At 36.7% G+C, this 19,954-nt stretch overlaps 1 long non-coding RNA gene across 8 annotated transcripts in view; it reads left to right on the top strand.

Moving 5' to 3' along the window:
* The window catches only part of LOC107986777 (uncharacterized), a 303,857-nt gene that overhangs the window by 255,524 nt on the left and 28,379 nt on the right, over window positions 1-19,954 (top strand). The window contains exons 4-7 of one of the 8 annotated variants that reach the window (XR_007060257.1): window positions 6,598-6,737; window positions 12,714-12,806; window positions 13,283-13,618; window positions 16,214-18,990. The exons of 1 other annotated variant lie outside the window; for it this stretch is intronic. This is a non-coding gene — a long non-coding RNA (uncharacterized LOC107986777). 6 more of the 8 variants (XR_007060256.1, XR_001745130.2, XR_007060258.1 and 3 more) reach the window with 6 other exon arrangements.

The following is a 19,954-nucleotide window of genomic DNA, read 5'->3' as shown; positions in this document are numbered from 1 at the left end:
AAGGTACTCAATCCAAAGGAAGTCATAAAGAGGATAAAGAAAACAAAGGACAAATGGGACAAATAGAAAACAAATAGCAAAGTGATAGATTTAAGTCTAACTATATCAATATCTACATTAAATATAAATTATCAAAATACTCCAAATAAAATACACAGATTGTTGAACTAGATAACAAAGCAAGACTACTATATGCTGCCTACAAGAAATGCACTTCAAATATGAAGATACAAAATAGGTTAAAGAACACAAGGTTGGGAAAATGTGCTATACTAGTCAAAAGAAATGTGAAGTGACAAAAGAAATGTGAAGTGTCTAATATTAATATATTAGACAAGGTAGACTTCAGAGCAAAGCATATTACCCGAGACTAGGTAGGTCATTTCATCATCATAAAGAGGCTAATTCATCAAAAGAACATAACAATTCTTAACATCTATGTACCTAATAATGGACCTTCAAAATGCATGGAGTAAACTGATGGAAATACAATGAGTAACAGAAAAATCCACAGTTAAAGCTAAATACATTTCAATACTTAATTGACATGTATAGCATGTTCCACCCCAAAACAACAAAACACACATTCTTTTCCATTGTACAATGCACATTATCAAGATATACTATAAAACAACTATCAATAAATTTAAAAGGATTAAATTTATATGCAGTATGTTCTCTGACCAAATAAAGTTAAATTGTAACTTAATAACAACAAATACAAATCAATTAATCTTTCCAATTAAAACATAAGTATTGTCATATTTGATACGTGTTGCATGCACACACACACACGTATGACTACATACTGTTTGCAAGTGACAAACCTAAAACATAAAGGCTCAGAAAAGTTGAAAATCAAAAAACTGAAAGTATATATGAGGTTAAAAAGAAGATCTTATGGCTGCTTACAAAAATAATAGATACTTTGACACAAACATTATTAGTGAGATAAATAAATTCACTACATAACGAAATGATTTTTAGTTCACCAAAAAGATAACACAGTTTTAAACTTCATGCAACCAAAAAGAAAATATAGAAACATAATACCATTTACATCAATACCAAAAAATAAAATACTTAGGAATAAATCTGACAAAATATATATAATTTCTGTATGAGGATAGTTTTAAAACTCTAAGATATACAAAGATGGAGAGATATTTCATATTCATAGATGGGAAGATTCAATAATTAAGATTCAGTTATTTCCAACTTAATCTAATATTCAGTGTAATTTAAGTCAAAATCCTAACAAGTTATTTTGTGAATATTGACATACTGATTCTAAAGATTATATGGAAAGGCAAAAGACCCAGAATAGTCAATACAATACTGAAGGAGAAGAACAAAGTTTCTCTGACTGGAGAACTGACACCACTAATTTCAAGACTTACCATAAAGCTACAACAATTAAAAGAGTGTGGTATTGGTGAAAGAATAGACAAATAGATCAATGGAACGGAAGTGAGAGTTCGGAAATAGAACCACACAAATACATGAAACTGATCTTTAACCAAGGAGTAAAGGCAATTCAATGGAGAAAGTCTTTTCAACAAACGGTGCCAGAATAACTGGATACTCATATGCTAAAAAAATTACTCTAGACACTGACCTTCCATTTTTCACAAAAGTTAATTCAAAACGGACCACAGACCTGAATTTAAAATGCAAAATTTAAAAACTTCTAAAAAATAACACAGAAAAAATCGGGTTTGGTGGTAAGTTTTTAGATACAATGCCAAAAGCAAAATCCATGAAAGAAAAAATTGTTAAGTTAGACTCCATTAAAATTAAAACTGCTCTGCAAAAGACACTGTTAAGAAAATGAAAAGATACACTGCAGGGTTGGAAAAAATATTTACCAAATACCTGCCTGATAAAGGACTTGTATCCGAAACATACACAGAACGCTTAAAACTCAATAAGAAAATGAACAACCCAATTTTTAAAAGGGCAAAAGATCTATACAGATACCTTATCAAAGAAGACACACACATGACAATTAGCATATGAAAAGATGCTCAAGATCATATGTCATTAGGAATTGCAAATGTAAGCGACAAGATACCATTACACACTTATTAGAACGGATAAAATTCAAAACATACTGACATGCCATATGCTGTCAAGAATGCGGAGCAACAGAAATTCTCATTATTGCTGTGGGAATATAAAATGATAGAATCACTTTGAAAGACAGTTTCTTATAATACTAAACATAGTGTTACAATATGATCCAGTAATTATACTCCTAGGTGTTTACCCAAATGAGTTGAAAGGTTATGCCCACACGAAACCTGCACACAAATATTTTGCAACTTTGTTCATAATTACCAAAACTGGAAGCAGCCAAGCTGTCTTTGTAGGTAAATGAATAAAGAAGATGTGGTACATCCATAAAATGGAATATTATTCAGTGATAAAAAGAAATGAGCATCAAGCCACAAAAAAAGACATGAAGAAATCTTAATGTGTTCTTCCTAGAAGAAGGAGCCAGTCTAAAAGGCTACATGCTCTATGATTCCAACTATATAACATTCTGTTAAAAGCAAAACAATAGATTTTGCCAAAAAAATAAAATAAAATAAAATAAAATAAAATAAAATAAAATAAAATAAAATAAAATAAAAAGCAGTTGCTAGCTAGGGATTTGGAGGAAGAAAAGATGAGTAGTGGAGCCAGGGAATTTTTAGGACAGTGAAATTATTGTGTATGATACTGTAATGGTGGATATATGACATTACACATTTGTCAAAAACCCATAGAGCATTACAAGGCAAAGAGTGAATCCTAATGTAATCTACAGACTTCAGTCAATATAAAGTATCAGTATTAGTTCATCAATTGTAACAAATGCAAAATGTTAGTAATAGGAAAAATTGTGAGCATGGGAGACAGAGGCCATATGAAAACTGTCTGTGTTATCTGCTCAACTTTCAGTAAACCTAAAACTTCTCTTAAAAATAAGGTCCATTAATTTAGAAAATACAGCTTCAACTTACAGAAATAAAAATTTCCATATTTATAAATAAAATCAATAAATCAACAAATATACTGAAGAATTCTAGCATATCTCTGACAATAATTGACAGATTATGCTGACAAAAATAAGTATATCCTATATTTGACCTACACAATTAACATTTGTGGGACATATTTCAAACATGACACTTAACAATAGGAGAATTCACACTCTTTTTAAACACTGACGCATTTATAAAAATTGACTTCACAGTAATCCATAAAGCAAGTCTCAATTTCAAAATATTGATATCATTGGGGTCATTTTAAGTTGGAAATCAATAATCAAAATATATTTTAAAAAACCCATGCACTTGGAAATTTGAAAGTGTATTTCTAAGCAAATCTTGGATCAAAGAAGAAATAAAAGTGGAAATTATAATAATGTCAAAACTTACGGGATACAACTAAAGCATCAGTTAGAAGATAAATTATGGTATTAAACATTTACATTAGAAAAGATTAAAGGCTAGAAATTAAAGAACTAAGTATCCAACTTAAACATGTTGAAAAGAGAAGAAGTACTAAAGAAGCAAGAAGAGGGAAATAAGGACAGAAGTACTCAACTGGAAAAGAAAGATAACATAGAGAATTAATAAAGTCAAAAGTTAGTACTTTCTAAAAGGCTAATTAAATTAGCAGACCCCCTGCCAATATAGATTAAGAAAAAAAATGACAGAAGCAAAAGAAGAAATGAAAGGATATTGTAGATACTTACAATTTATTAGAGAGAATTATAAACAGCTTTATGCCAATAAAATTGAAAACACATGAAATAAACAAGTTCCTAGAAAGTGTATTGCTAAATTTGACCCAAGAAGAGAAAATCTAAATAATCTGATACCTATTAAAGTAATTAAACCAATAGTTTGAAATCTTCCTACAAATATCAGGATAGTGATTATATTCAGGGGTGGGAAGTGAGAAATGGATGAAGGATAGAACATAGAGGGTTTCACAGGTAAAGGAAGACAAGAAATAACCAAAATCAGAGCTGAACTGAAGGAAATTGAGATACAAAAAAACCATACAAATGATCAACAAATCCTGAAGTTGGTTATTTGAAAGTATAAAGTAGAGAGACTGCTAGCTAGATTAATTAAAAAAGCAAGAAGATTCAAATAAACACAGTCAGAAATGACAAAGGAGACATTAGCATCAACCACACAGAAATACAAAAACAAACAAAAAACCCCTCAAAGACTACTACAAACACCTCTATGCACACAAGCCAGAAAACCTAGAAGAAATGGATAAATTCCTGGAAACATGCAACCTCCCAAGATTGAACCAGGAAGAAATTGAATCCCTAAACAGACCAACAATGAGTTCCAAAATCAAATCAGTAATAAAAAGCCTACCAACCACACAAAGCCCAGAATTAGATGAATTCACAGCTGAATTATAACAGATAAATAAAGAAGAGCTGGTACCATTTCTACTGAAGCTATTCCAAAAAACTGAGGAGGAGGAAATCCTCCCTAATTCATTCTATGGGGCCAGCATCATACTGACACACATACTTTTTAATACAGTTTGCCATCTTTTCTTTGGTATTGTTTGTATTTTCTTTCTACAAGTTTTTTTAAGCCTGTTAGATTTGGGTTAGGATTGCATTGAATCTATGGATTTACTTAGGGGTAACTGACAGCTTAACAATATTGAGTCTTGTGACCTATGAACACATTATTTCTCCTTTTAGTTGGTTCTACTTTAACTCAGTGATATCTTGTAGTTCTCCTTTTATAGATCTTTCGCATCTTTAAAAAATATATCCCTAAGTATTTGATAATTTTGATGATACTGTAAATGGTATTTTTTATTTGAATTTCAAGTTGTTTGTTGCTAGTATATAGATGTAGAATTGATTTTTGTATATTGACCTTGTATCTTGCAACTTGACTAACTTATTGGTTCTGTATCAGTTCTAGAAGTGTTTTTACAGATTCCATTGCATTTCTATATTAACAATTACACTGTCTGTGAATAACAACAGGCTTACTTGTTTCTTTCCATAATAGATGTCTTTCCTTTTTCTTTGTTGCGCTGGAAAGAACCTTCAATATAATGTTGAATAGAAGTGGTAAGAATAGACAGATATATTCGTATTAGTCTTGATCTTCAAGGGAAAGTATTCAGTCTTCCACCATTAGGTATAATGCTGCTGTATGTTGCTTGTAGATGCCCTTTATTAGGTTGAGGGAGTTCCCTCTATACCGAGTTGGCTAAAAGATTTTATAAGTAATATATGTTGGATTTTGTTAAGTGCTTTCTTTGTATCTCTTGAGATAATCATGTGTGTTTTATTTTTTATTTGGTTAATATGGCAAACCAGTTGATTTTCAAATGTTGAATGAGCATGGCATTCCTGAGATAAATCTCCCTTAATCATGATGTATATTATGCCTTTCTTAGGTTGTTGGATTCACTTTGTTAAATTTGCTTATCATTTTCACTCCTATGTTTACTACATTACATTATTGTAATTTGTCTGTATTTGCTGTCAGCATAAAGCCAGACCTCCACAATTATTTTGGAAGTATATCTTATTCTTTCATTTTCTGGAAGAATTCATATAGAATTATTTTTTTTTCTCCCTTAAATATGTAGCAGAATTCACCAGTAAAGCCATCTGGGCCTGGAGTTTTCTTTGTGAGAATATTTTTAACTACAAATTCAATTGTAATGGACACAAGCTAATGAGTTTATCTATTTTTTCTTAAGAAGTCTCTAGTAATATGAGTCTTTCAGGATATTTATCCATTTCATCTAAATTATTAAATTTGCTAGCATAAAATTGTTCATAATGTTCCCATATTATCCTTTTAGTATCTATAGAATCTGGAGTCATGTCACCTCTTTTATGCCCTATATTAGTAATTTGTGTCTTCTCTGTTCTTCCTGATTAGCAGAGCTAGAGGTTTATTAATTTTATTAATCTTGTTCATTTTGGGTTTCTTAGATTTTCTGTTTTCTATCTTATTGGTTTCTTCCTTACTCTTATTTTCTTTTTCTTACTTACTCTAGGCTGAATTTTCTCTTCTTTTCTAATTTCTTAAGGTTGCAGTTGAAGTCATTGATTTTAAGATCTTTCTTCTTTTCTAATAAAGATGTTTAGTGCTAGAAATTTTCTTTCTGCTATGGCTTCAGTGTTATCCCACAACTTTTATGTATGTTTTTTCACTTTTATTCAGCTTAAAATAGTTTCTAATTTTCTTTTAGATTTTTTTTTAAATCTACAGGTTATCTAGAAGCATGCTACTTAGTTTCTAAATATTTGCAAATTTTATCTTTTTTTCTATTATTGATTTCTGATTTAATTCCATTGTGGTTCAGAAAACATACTTTCTGTGATTTAAATCCTTTTAAATGTATTGAGACTTGTTTTTAATAAACTTGTAGATGCTTTATTATATGATTGAGAGGAATGTTAACTTGATGTTTTAAATATTTATTGGGGAAGCTTTTTAATTGTGTTGTTAAAATCTTCTATATTTTTACTAAATATTTTTTGTCTGATGGCTTTATTTCTTTTCTTTTCTTTCTTTTTTTTTTTTTTTTTTGAGACAGGGTGTTGCTCTGTCACCCAGGCTGGAGTGCAGTAGCACTATCTTTACTCACTGCAACCTCTGCCTCCCAGGCTCAATTGCTCAATTGATTCTCCCACCTCATCCCCTCGTGTAGCTGGGACTACAGGCATGTACACCCAGGTAATTTTTTTTTTTTTTTTTTTTGCAGGGACAGGGTCTCACCACGTTTACCATGTTGCCCAGGCTGGTTTCGAACTCATGGGCTCAAGCAATTCACATGCCTTGGCCTCCCAAAGTGCTGGGATTATAGGCATGAGCCACTGCGCCCAGTCTGATGGCTTTATTTTTGATACAGGTATATTAAGTTATCCACTATGATTGTGAATTTGTCTGTATCTTTTTATAATTGTTAGTTTTTCTTTATATGTATTAAAGCCATGTTGTTAATGCATACAAATTCACAATTGTTATATCTTCTAGGAAAAACTCCTCTCATAATGCAGTGTGCTTCTTTATCACTAGTGATGATTTTGCTTTTAATTCTACTTTATATGATATTAATATTGCTGCACCAAATTCTCTATTTGTTAGTAGTTGCCTGTTATATCTTTTTCAGTTGCTCCAGGTATTTTTGCTTTCGGTATGTCTTTGATAAACAGCATTTGTTTGTTTGTTTTAACCAAATATGATCATCTTCTTTAGATAGCCTGAGGTTGACCCATATACAATTATTATGATAATTGATATAGCTGGGTTAATTTATACACTTTTGTGCTGTGTTTTCATTGTATAATCTTCCCGTCACCACCTCCCCCAACTTTGTTTTTGCTTCTTTTTTTCTCCCTTATATTCTTTCTCTAGGATTGATGAAATTATCTTTATTCTTTTTATTTCTCTTCTAATGGTTTGGAAGCTATAGATTGCGTTTCTATCATCTTGGTGATTACTTTCAACATACATATAAAATGTTATATTTCCTGACAAAGTCTAAAGAAATTTAATATCCTCATCTTTTTAAACAAAGTGATGATCTTAGTTGACATTGGCCCATTGAATTCCACCTCTTCTATCCTCCTTGTATTTACTGTCTACATTTTATTCCCAACTCTTTTAAGCAAACAAAAATGTTAATCTTGAATTGTCAGTAATTAATTTAACAACATCTTTTTATCTATTACTTTGTTCATTAATGCTTCTTACATCCCATATCATTCCAGGTTTTCTTTTTTTTGAAAGAACTACTAAAGAACGTTCTGAGTTCTTTAGTAGTGCTTTCAATAGAAGTTTGTGGGTGGGTTGAATTTTGGAGGTGGGAGGAACAATATTGAGTCTCTCAATCCAACTGTTATTTCACTTAACATCTTCTTAATATTTTTCCCTCTTTATTTCTTTGTGCTTCTTTCTTGGTAAATTCTTCAATACTATTTTCAAATTCAGTAATTCTCTTTGATTTTTCCAGTCAGATTTTATCCCATTTATTGAGTTTTCGTCTCGATTATTACACACATTTTTTAGTTTCACGTTTTTTTTTAGTAGAGACGGGGTTTCACCGTGTTAACCAGGATGGTCTCGATGTCCTGACCTCGTGATCTGCCTGCCTTGGCCTCCCAAAGTGCTGGGATTACAGGCATGAGCCACCGTGCCCGGCCTAGTTTCAGGTTTTAAAATTGGTTCTTTATATCCATTTATCTTTGATTTCTACCCACTTTTAAATTTCACAAAACATTTTATGGTTATTATTTTTTCTTTTATTTCTGAATAAGTTACACATACTTATTTTAAATTCATTTTGAGAATGTTTAATTTTTATTTTTTCAAGAATTAATTCTCCACACTTTATTGACTTGCTTTCTTAAAGTGGTTTTTCTTTATGTGCTTTATTATTTCCCCTCTCTCATCATGCACTCTTTTCTCGTGGTTTTGCAGCACCTCCACCCAACTCTTGGCACTCCGATGATAGAACAGGCCTTATGTCAACAGCCAAGGGCTTCCATTCTTGGGGCAATTTCACACATTTAGCTATTGAATCAGCAGGTGCCCTGACATAGGTTCTGTCTCCACGGCCTTCTCTGCTCCTTCTGGCCACACTGGCTACACAGCTACTTAGCTTTTCTTGCATTAACTCTTTTAAACAAACAAACAAAAAGCTTTCTTTTAATTGCCAGTATTAAATTAGATATATACAAGCTATAGCCCAGTCATGTCTTCTTCTCAGTTTCTTTTCATGGTAAGAAACCCCACCTCTTTGCTGCTGTCACTCTTACTATCCAGTAGGGCTCAATGTGCTGTAGGTCCTTTCTACCCCACAGAAATCCAAGTTCTGGCCAACTCTGAGCATTTCTAGATTCAAAATCCAGTGGGTTGGTGGCCTCAGCCTGCACTTATGGCTAGAAGCTTCTATTTTGACCTTTGTCTACATAGATGTTTGTTTTTGAGCATGGCTATCTTTGGAGTATGTGCATGTGTGTGTGCGCATGCATGTGCGCTGTATTTGGAGCAATTTAAAACTTGAACTCATATTACCATCTTGAAAAGAAGCAAAGAGCAGAGTCTCTCAATTAAAGTGGCTTCATTCTGTTTTGACATTTATAAAAGTCTTAGGTATCTCGTTTTTGTACATAAATCCTTTTATACTATTTGCAATTTCAAAATACTATAAATGAAATTATGACTGCCTTGACAGGGAGGTTAAATTCTTTCCACAGACTTTTAAAAAATTGCACATGCTACCCCCACCCCTACTCTTCCCAATTCCTAGGTATCCTACTTTCCCAGGTTCAAAACCACTGTCCTAAGAGGAAATGTGCTGCTCTAATCAGATCAGCTTGAGAAAACTCACTCAGAGAGTAGGAGAGCTAACAATCAGGGAACCTGTGTGACTAGAGGAAGACAGGGATGCCTGGAGAAAACAACCTGACCTGCCCGCACAGAGGGACCCTTGTTCCAGAAACCAGGAGAGGCAGCTGATGGGCCCACACAGTCAGCACTTACTCTGGTCAATTTGTTCTCAAATTCTAACCATGGGAATAAACACTACTTTCGGTGAAAACATTCCTTGTATTTCACAAACAACTTCCTGACAACATTTACAGAAATCAAAATAAAAGAACATCAAAACTCATTTATTTACCCAGTAGGTAAATAGATGAAGAATAAGAACAGGTGGTTCTCATAAGAGGAAATAAAAAGTGATCTAACATACACACCTGTTATCCTTTATTGTAATCAAATAAATAAAAATTAATGAAACATTTTATATCTAGGAAGAATTTTTTAAAATAATACTCAAGTATAAGGTTGCTATTAAACTAGTATATTCATACTTACTGCTACATTGGAAATTGGCACAACTGTTTGGAAAAATAACATAGCAATATGTATTGGGAGCTATAAAAATGGTTTTTATCTTTTAGCCAGTAATCCAAACTCCTAGGAATTTATCTTAAGAAAACATCAAAAGGAAAAAGTGTTCACACAGCATTATTTACAAAAGTGTAACTAAATGTTGAAGTGGACAAACAGGCAGTAAGTTTCCCCCAACAGTTTTAACAGCTTTATTAAAGCATAATTGATGGGCAATAAGGTACACATAAAGTGTTTAATTTGTTAAGTTTTGACCTATGTGTACATCCAAGAAACCGTCACCACAATCAAATGAACATAATCATCCTCCAACATTTTTAATTGAGCAGAAAACAGTTAGGGCCAGATACTTGCTAAATGAGGCTACCCCAGCCATCACCCACACCCACTCCCAGGCACCAGCAGACCACCCAGGGACAGGAATTGGAATCATTGGGAGTACAGTGTTCCTGCTGAGGAGGTTTGCCCTCCCCTCTTTCTTATGGTGTTCAAGAAACTGGGACTCCAAAAAATAGAGACTAAAGGTGACTTTTAGGCAAGAGGAGCCCAGCAGCCACCAGCTGACTGGGTAGGTACCAGGCTTCAGTCTCTGCAGGCCCACTTTGAAGATGGCTACCTGGCTGAAGATTTCTGAGGGTGGGAATTTGCCAGGGCAGCTCACACCAGCAGCAAGAAGGGATCATGGTGTAGCTGTTCTTGAGTAAAAGATGGCACTCCACCCTCCAGTCCCCTGTGGCCCTTGCAGGGTATGGAGGAGAAACCAGTAGCTTTCCTGGCTCACATGAGGGAGCTGAGGAGTAAAGAGGGAGGCAGAAACTACGGTGCCCTGGCCAAGGGAAGTAATGTCCTACCGAGATAGGGGGTTGAGGGTGTGCGTCAACGGCATGGCTTAAAAGGGATGCCGCTGTTACTTTCTGAGAGGGTCCTCAGTGACAAAGGGACCAGAAACACATGCCCAGAAAATCACATGAGACAAAGACAATGTCAGCAGAACACACCAACAGCCAACCAGAGTGACCAGTAGAAAGCTCAGGGCCACTGCCCACCACTGACGGGTGACAGTAGGTAGCTCAACCTTCCCCATTCCTTTATTTCTTTATTTTTTTATTTTAAGACACAGAGTCTTGCCCAGGCTGGAGCACAGTGGTGTGATCATAGTCCACTGCAGCCTCAAACTCCTGGGCTCAAGTGATCCTTCCACCTCGGCCTTCTAAGTGGCTGGGACTACAGGTGTGTGCCACCATATCTGGCTAATTTTTATTTTTTTATTTTTTAGAGATAGGGGTCTCACTATGTTGCCCAGGCTGGTCTATAATCTCTGCTCTCAAGCAGTCCTTCTGCCTTGGCTTCCTAAAGCATTGGGATTACAGGCATGAACCACCGAACCCGACAGCTTCCCTTTTTACTCCAATTTCTCCTCCTCCCCACCCAACCCTCTGGTGATAGAGGAGTAAAAGCCAAAACATATTCCCTCCCAACTACAGGTTTCAAAGACCATGATACAGCCAGAGAGAGAAGGGAAAAGAGAAAATGAGATTAGATTTTAAACTGGACCAGATAGAACTTTTAATAATGAGATATGACTTTAAAGCTATGGGATCAGCCCAAGATGTCACTGAAGGACAGGCAAGGGAGGTGGTAGTTGGAAGAAAATAGATTGCTTATGCCTGTACTTCACTGAGTTTAGGAAATTCACTATACCAGAGATAATCACAAAATTAAAAGGAAAGTGTAGCATATCAACTCAATCCATTACACAACATGTAAAAATATAATTATTAAGCACTATGCAGAAAAATGGAGTGTGTTTACACACTATCATCCTAAATAATAACGATTACTTCAAAACAGATAAAAATGCATAACAATGCACAACTATTAAAACAGGTATGTATGGACAAAATCTTAGAGTAAGAAAAATAAAAGTCATTTTGTTAATGTGGTATGATTATTGTTTTTAAATTACTTTTAAGTTTTCACATTTCTTTTATAATATAGAAAAGTGGAAAAATCTAAAACCCTCCTGTCTTACTATTAAGAAAAGTATTTGTATTTCCCATGTTCTTTTCTTTTTTTGTTTGTTTTGATCCAGTACTATTTATGGAAACATCGCCCTTTCCCCACTGCACTGTAAACTTTATCATAAATTAAGTGACTGTGTAAGTGCTGGGTTTGTTTCTGGACTTGCCAACAGATTCCACTGGACAATTTCTCATTTCTTGTGAGAATAGCAAGCTGTTTTAAATTATTATATCCGGCCGGGCACGGTGGCTCACGCCTGTAATCCCAGCACTTTGGGAGGCCAAGGCGGGTGGATCACGAGTTCAGGAGATCGAGACCATCCTGGCTAACACAGTGAAACCCCGTCTCTATTAAAAAATCCAAAAAAAATTATTATATCCTTATAATAATTCTTGACATTAGGGGCTTAAGCTTTATTGTGATTATTTCTTTTCTTCCTCTTCTTTCTCCTCCTTTTCCTTCTTCTTCAGCTCCCAAATCTGTTTTGTTATTTAGATTTGATATCATTTCTAGAATCAGCTTGTGAATTGCAACAAACAACTACTATTATTTTGTTTGGAGTTCCATGAATCTATACATCAATTTGGAGAGAATTGACATCTTTCCAATACCAAGTCTTCTAATATATGATTTCCCTTGTTCTTTTCTCTTTGATGCCCTGACAAATAATTTTGAGCACTTATCTGCCAAGTTGAGGCTGTGCCAGATGTTGTGGACACAGCCCAGAGCAGAGCTGGTGGCCTCACTGCCCTAACATGTACAAACCTGCAGGGATGCAAGGTGCCCAGACTGTGCAAAGCAATGGCAGCTGCATGGAGTCCAGAGAGAGCACCTGGAGGCCTGGAAGGCTTCCAAAAGAAAGTGGTAAGCAAGGGGAGACAGAAAGGTTGCCTAGAGGGTGGTCCGGGGAGGAGATTGAGGGTAAGAATGCTCCAGGCAGGGGCAGAGCTTATAAGAGAAGTTTGCAAGGGCTGGAGCACGTAGTAGGAATTGAAGCTGCAGGCTGGGGGAGCAGGGATGCAGAGACAGAAGCTGGGTCAGGCCTTACAAATCTTGGTGTGAGAAACACTGATTTTAAGATAAAAGCATTTTAAGATAAAATATAGATTTTTAAGATAAAAGCTAAATATAGATTTTAAGCTAAAATTGTAAGCTAAATCTTATTTTTAAGATAATATATAAAAGCATATATATACACATATATAATGCACACACATGCATAACATTCATAATGCTTTTGTAGCTGAATTTCTTAATTTCTGTAAACTAGGACACATGTTTGAATTTGGAATTTTCCAGTCTTCTATAATATTTCCAATTCTACATGCTTATGTTCTTAGAGTTTGCACTCCTCTGAGATACAAGACAAGTATTTGGAAGATGCAGGATTTTACTGAAGTTCTCATGGAAGGCTTTGGGCCCACTGATCCCATCCATGGGCATTTTGTCCCCTCCACAATCCAGCTGAGGGCTGGACTTCCCTGGGACCATTCTCAGGGGTCACAGGCATAACCTGTCCATGCATTAAAGGTTGGCGCAGAAACTTGGGGCACCTCCAGCCATTAATTCAGATTCATCTGTTTCAACGTATTCCCATCCACCCACAGACTACTGGGGGCCACCCAGAGGCCTGAGTTTCCACCAGTTTCTCACATGAGAGAAAGCTGAAGGAAAAGGTATGAAGGCGGATTTCACTGTTGACAGGTTGTCTTTCAAGTGTGGGTCCTGGCGTTTATGAGGCAATGATGAGACACCTAGAAAGAAGCACATCTCTGAGACATGACAGTTCAGTCCCAAAGGCCATTAATAGAGGGCCAGCTCATCAACACAGCTGCAGAAACAGAGCACAGCCAGCCTCGCAGCCCCACACGCTGAAGCCCCCGCTGCAGCATTCCATCTACTCTAGCGCCCATGCAAATTGAAAACCTAAAATAGTTCACTCCCCATAGCCACTGGCTTTGAAGAATCTCTTTTGTCTCCATGAAATAGCTCCAGGAGACAGAACCCAGAGAAAAACTTTTTGAAGTGAACTTTTTCCTTATAATTTTATTTAAATTTGAATATTTTTGTAGAAATAATAAAGTTATCCACTAATTATCTGTGTGACACAAAACAATCTCATTTTAATTATGGCTAGTTGTTATGTACTTTAAATACAATTAGAAAGTTACTGAGTTTAGACTGAGGGTTTTCTGACACAATCACATCTCTGTCTTTTTAAAATTTATTTTTATTTTTATTTATTTTATTTTTTTAAGGGACAGGGTCTTGCCCTGTCTCCCAGGCTGGAGTATGGTAGCTTGATCGTAGCTCACTATAGTCTCAAACTCCTGCACTTAAGCAATCCTCCCAAATAGCTGGGACTACAGGCACATGCCCCTACGCCTGGCTATTTTTTAAATTTTTTGTAGAGATGGAGTCTCATTATGTTGCCCACGCCAACCTTGAACTCCTGGCCTCAAACAATCCTCTTTTCTCAACCTCCCAAAGTGCCGGGATTATAGGCATGAGCCACCATGCCCGGCCTGTGTCTTGCTTTTTTTAATTTATAAAAGTAACACTTGTTCATTGCAAGTTATTTATGTATTATGCACATATGTATATATACACACATGCACATATATAAGTATATATGTATATACATCCATATATATGCACACATAAATATATACATCTATGTGTATACATACATATATATAATCTGAGGAATCAACTAAGCACCAGAAATACTCAGCTTTACTCCCTGCTGGGCCTGCCTGGAAGCCAGCTATTCCCACTGTTGGGAGCAGAGCCAGGCATCAGCATCAGCTCATGAAGCTCCCAATCAAGGTGAGAACTCTCCTGCACCCGTGCCCTTCAGCACTTCTGCTACTTCTGCCTAGTGGGCTCAGAAACATCAGATTGCCCCAAGTGCAAGTGCTGGAAAGACAGCAGCTCGGGATGTCCTACTGGCCCTAGTTTGCCTGTGATTTTCCAGATTTAGAAAGTCTTGCATCCTGGGCCTCCCAATAGAGAGCAGAGAGACCACACCCCACTTTCCCTTCACAGCACCAGATCTGAGTTCCAGGAGGTGCGAACATTTAAGCCTAAATCAGGTGGGAAGTTTGCCCAACACAAAGGATTGATGTTCTATTTTTGTACTGAATGAAAACTGTTTGCAACTTAACATAATTGTTACCAGTTACCTAAAATGAGCAAAGAAACCAGAGTCCTGATATCATTTTTATACAGAGGCAGTGATGGTGGGGACAAAAAATTGTATTTTAATTGTATATATCTATACCTACACACACATATAATTTTATAACAGAATTTTAAAAAATCTTTTAGAAACACAGTTTCATTCTGTTGCCTAGGCTGGACTGCAGTGGTGCTATCATAGTTCACCACAACCTCGAACTCCTGGGCTTAAGTGATCCTACCATCTCAGCCTTCCGGGTAGCTAGGACTATATGTGTGTGCCACCATGGCTGGATAATTTTTCTTTTTTTGTAGAGACGGGCTCTCGTTATGTTGCCAGGCTGGTCTTGAACTCCTGGCCTCTAGCAATCCTCTTGCCTTGGCCTCCTGAAGTGCTGAGATTGCAGGCATGGGCCACCATGCCCGGCCAACAGTATATTTTAAACAGTACTGTCTGACGCTTGCTTTACTTACAGCACATCTATTTCTAAATCTAGATATCCTGTACATTTAAAAAATTATGACGTACTCATATAATTTGATATCCTCCACTTTAAGATAAACCCACATGTAAGAATGTGCAGAGATCCTATACAAGTTTGTGTCAATGAGTACACATTTAGTGGAATATTCCACTAAATTCTAAGGTCCAACAGCATCAGCATCACCTGGTAATTTGTTAAAAGTGCAGGACCTGAGGCCCACCCAGACCTACTGAACTGGAATCTTCATTTTAACAAGATCCCCAAGTGACCGATTTGCACAGTAAGGTATGAAAAGCCCAGATCTGCAACATCGTTTTTAATTGTTGACAATTACACCACTGTATGATTGGGCCATGAGGCTAGAGTTTAGTCATTTGATTCTAACTAGTGTTAGGAGAATTTATCCATCTAGATGGCCAGGAGCCATTTACTAGGAAACCTTGTTACAGTCAATCTCATTGGCCTTGGGTGATAGAGACAATTCCTGCTGGGCTGAGGTTGTAGGAAAACTGAAGTCTGGGTGTAAGGCTATACTGGAGAGGCATCTCACAAATAACTGTTCTCAGAATGGTTTTAAAAAAAATGTTTACTATGTTGTGATAACAGATACTTCCAAACAAAAGGAACAGGAAGTTGTTGTCTTGTCTGTCTGCCGTTCAAGAGGACTGAATACGTTCCATTAAATTCGCCTGCAAACTTTTCCTGAAGAGCCCAGCAAGCAGCGATGAAAATTACAGAGTGGCTCCCAGGCACTTTAGTGGGTAATCAGCTGAAATTGAGCTGTTTTCCATATTCTTTGCTGATAATGCAAAAGGAACCTTTAAAACAAACAGCTCCAAGTCACCACACATCCTACAAGCTGAAAGGGCCCATGTGGTCCACACAGATGCTCCAGCCACACACCAAGCCCTGCTGCAGAGTAATTGGTTCCCACAGCTATCAGAGGTGAGAGCCAGCCGACTGCCTGTGCCTTCACAAATGGCCAGGCTGAGCTAGACGGTTTATGGGTCCAGGGCCAATCATCGGGATAAATTAGCTGTCAGGAAGTAAAAGCAGCTCTAGGGAAATGGCTAGGTCTGTCTAAAATCTCTGATTTTCTTCACACTAGGCGCAGTTTATCCTTGAATGGTGCTTGCTCATGCTGTCCAGGAGACAAGGACTCTGGGTTAAAGTATAGGATTCAGGACTCTAGGTCTAAATAGACCCAGGTGTTAAATGCCCAAGATTATCGACCAAAGTAGAAAAAAGATGTAGGGATTAGAGATTCAGGAAAAGCTATTTCCTCTAAGATTTTCATGGTTCTGAATGGAGCATCTGGGGAGAAAATTCATTTGGGGGTTGGGTTGCTAAGAGGCCAAGAGAAGGGAAAATGGAAAGGACGCTAGCGTGACACATGGTGGGACATGCAGGGAGGGGCAATGGACCCAGGCTTGATTCAGATGCCAACTTGCCATGCCCTGGCTATGTGTAAGCCAAAAATGTATCTGAGACAGGCCTCAATCAATTTATTTTGCAAGGTTAAGGATCATGACCCACGGCCTTAGGAGGGCCTGAGAACATGTGCCCAAAGTGGCTGGGTTACAGCTTGGTTTTGTATTTTTAGGGAGATATAAGACATCAATCAATATGTGCGAGGTATACATTGGATTGGTCTGGAAAAGTGGGACAACTTGAAGCACGGGCTTACAGGTCATAGGTGAATTCAAAGGTTTTCTGATTGGCAAGTGGCTGAAAAGAGTTAAGTTACTATCTAAAAGCCTGGAATCAATAGAAAGGAGTGTCTGGGTTAAGATAAGGGGTTGTGGAGATCAAAGTTCTTATTATGTAGATAAGTCTCACAGAAGGCTGCCCTTAGAAGCAATAGATGGCAAATGTTTCCTATTCAGACCTTTCAAAGGTCCTAGACTCAGCCAGGCGCAGTGGCTCACGCCTGTAATCCCTGCACTTTGGGAGACCGAGGTGGGCGGATCACCTGAGGTCGGGCGTTCGAGACCAGCCTGACCAACATAGAGAAACCCCTTCTCTACTAAAAATACAAAATTAGCCGGGTGTGGTGGCGCATGCCTGTAATCCCAACTAGGCAGAGGTTGCAGTGAGCCAAGATCGCGCCATTGCACTCCAGCCTGGGCAACAAGAGCGAAACTCTGTCTCAAAAAAAAAAAAAATATGCTAGACTCTCAGCTAATCTCTTCAGGATCAGAAAAGGACCTTGAAAGAATGTAAATTCCCACACCCCCTTCCCACAAGAGACAGCTTTGCAGGGCCATTTCAAAATATGTCAGTAAGATATATTTTGGGGTAAAATATTTCCATTTCCTTCAGGGCCTGCTATCTGTCATCTGATGTTATACCTGACTCAGGTTGAAATTGTTACTGTATTGCTACAAAGAGTCTGTTTTGTCAGTTTTAAGATCTCTGTTTGAATGTTAATGCTGGTTTGTTGCATCTAAACTCCAAAAGGGAGCGAGTAGAATGAAGCACGTCTGACCCCTACTTTCCATATAGCCTGGACTAGTTTTTTAGGTTTCTTTGGAATCCCGTTGTCTGAGAAGGGGGCCCATTCAATTACTTAGGGGGCTAGGAATTTTCTTTGTGGTTGACGTTCATAACCTTAATGGCGGCTTAAACTCTCTGACCCTTACTTTCTATGAAATAATGTAAAATCTCACAGGTAAGATACTGTAGATGAAGTCACCTAGGACATAGTAGTTATTTGATAAATTTTCTTTTCCTTCTTTCATCCCCTGAAAATGAACCAAACCTCACACCCTTTCCTCTCTTTACTCACAACCCAAACATAAGAAATGAATGTGAAGGTTCATAAAGAGCACATATCACTTTTAGAAAAGATAAACTCAATATTTTTAGTACCACTTATAAACAATAAATTTTTATTCAAAATATTTACTTGCTATATAAACAGCTACCAGTTTAATTTCAATGGGAAAACCTATTCTTAGCATATGTTTGATGAGCAAAATGTGGACAGAAAAAAAAAGTCCTACTGACTAAGTCCTGGAGAAGATGAACACTCTTGTATACGTTCAACAATGGGTGTGTAAGTTAATTGTAGAGAGCTCTTTTTTAGGGAGCATTGTAAATTACCTTGGATCTGAAAATTTCACTTCTGGAAACGTAAATCGTAATCATAAATATCCACAAGGATGTAGTTTCCATATTATACATTATATAAGCAATATGAAAATGCTTATAAAAACTATTATGTTTATATAATTATACAATACATGAATATATGTCATTGTAAAAAAATTTACGTAACATGGAAATATTACATAAAATATGAAAGTTGCTTTTTACTCTCATTTTCCTCACCCCACTTTCTCTAAAAGTAACCTCTAATAAAGTCTGTTTATACTTACGGATATTTTACTAAGCATTTAAGACATATATGTATGTATGTGTTACATTCTCTGTAATCCCAATGCCATTTATTATGTAGTTTACCTTCTGCTCATGGATTTGAAGTGCCATTCAAAAAACAAACAATTGTTAATTGATACAATGTATGTTATGCAGAATGAGGAACCTCTCCAATGTCAATATGAAAGCTTACTAGGATATATTATTATTATTATTATTATTATTATTATTATTGAGACAGAGTCTTGCTCTGTTGCCCAGGCTGGAGTGCAGTGGCATGATCTAGGCTCACTGCAAGCTCCGCCTCCTGGGTTCACGCCATTCTCCTGCCTCAGCCTCCCGAGTAGATGGGACTAGAGGCACCCGCCACCACGCCAAGGTAATTTTTTGTATTTTTAGTAGAGACAGGGTTTCACCATGTTAGCCAGGATGGTCTTGATCTCCTGACCTCGTGATCTGCCTGCCTCGACCTCCCAAAGTGCTGGGATTACAGGCGTGAGCCACCGTGCCCGGCAAGGATATATTATTAAGTGGAAAAAAGAGTAAGGTATGGAAAGACTGCATATACTATTCATGTAAGAAAGGGAGAAAATATGTATTTGTTTTTGCTTATATTTGCATAAAGAAATAAATAATAAACAAAATCATAACATAAGTGATTATCTGAAGGAGATATGAAGTGACAGAATGGAGTGGATGGGACAGAAATGGGAATAATACTTCCTTGTGGCAGGCAGAAAAATTACTCCAGGCCCTGGTATGACTATTTCCTTATACCCAGAACCTGTGAATGTTTGTTAGGCAGTGTGACAAAGATGGATTTTTTTAACTTTTGTTTTAGGTTAGGGGGTACATGTGAAGGTTTGTTACACAGGTAAACTCCTGTCATGAGGGTTTGTTATACAGATTATTTCATCATGCAGGTACTAAGCCCAGTACCCAATAGTTATCTTTTCTGTTCCTCCC

This window comes from Homo sapiens, chromosome 7 (assembly GCF_000001405.40).
Source record: "Homo sapiens chromosome 7, GRCh38.p14 Primary Assembly".
NCBI lineage: Eukaryota > Metazoa > Chordata > Mammalia > Primates > Hominidae > Homo > Homo sapiens.
The sequence above is the reverse complement of the archived record's forward strand: the minus strand, read 5'-3'. Positions and strand labels throughout refer to the sequence as shown.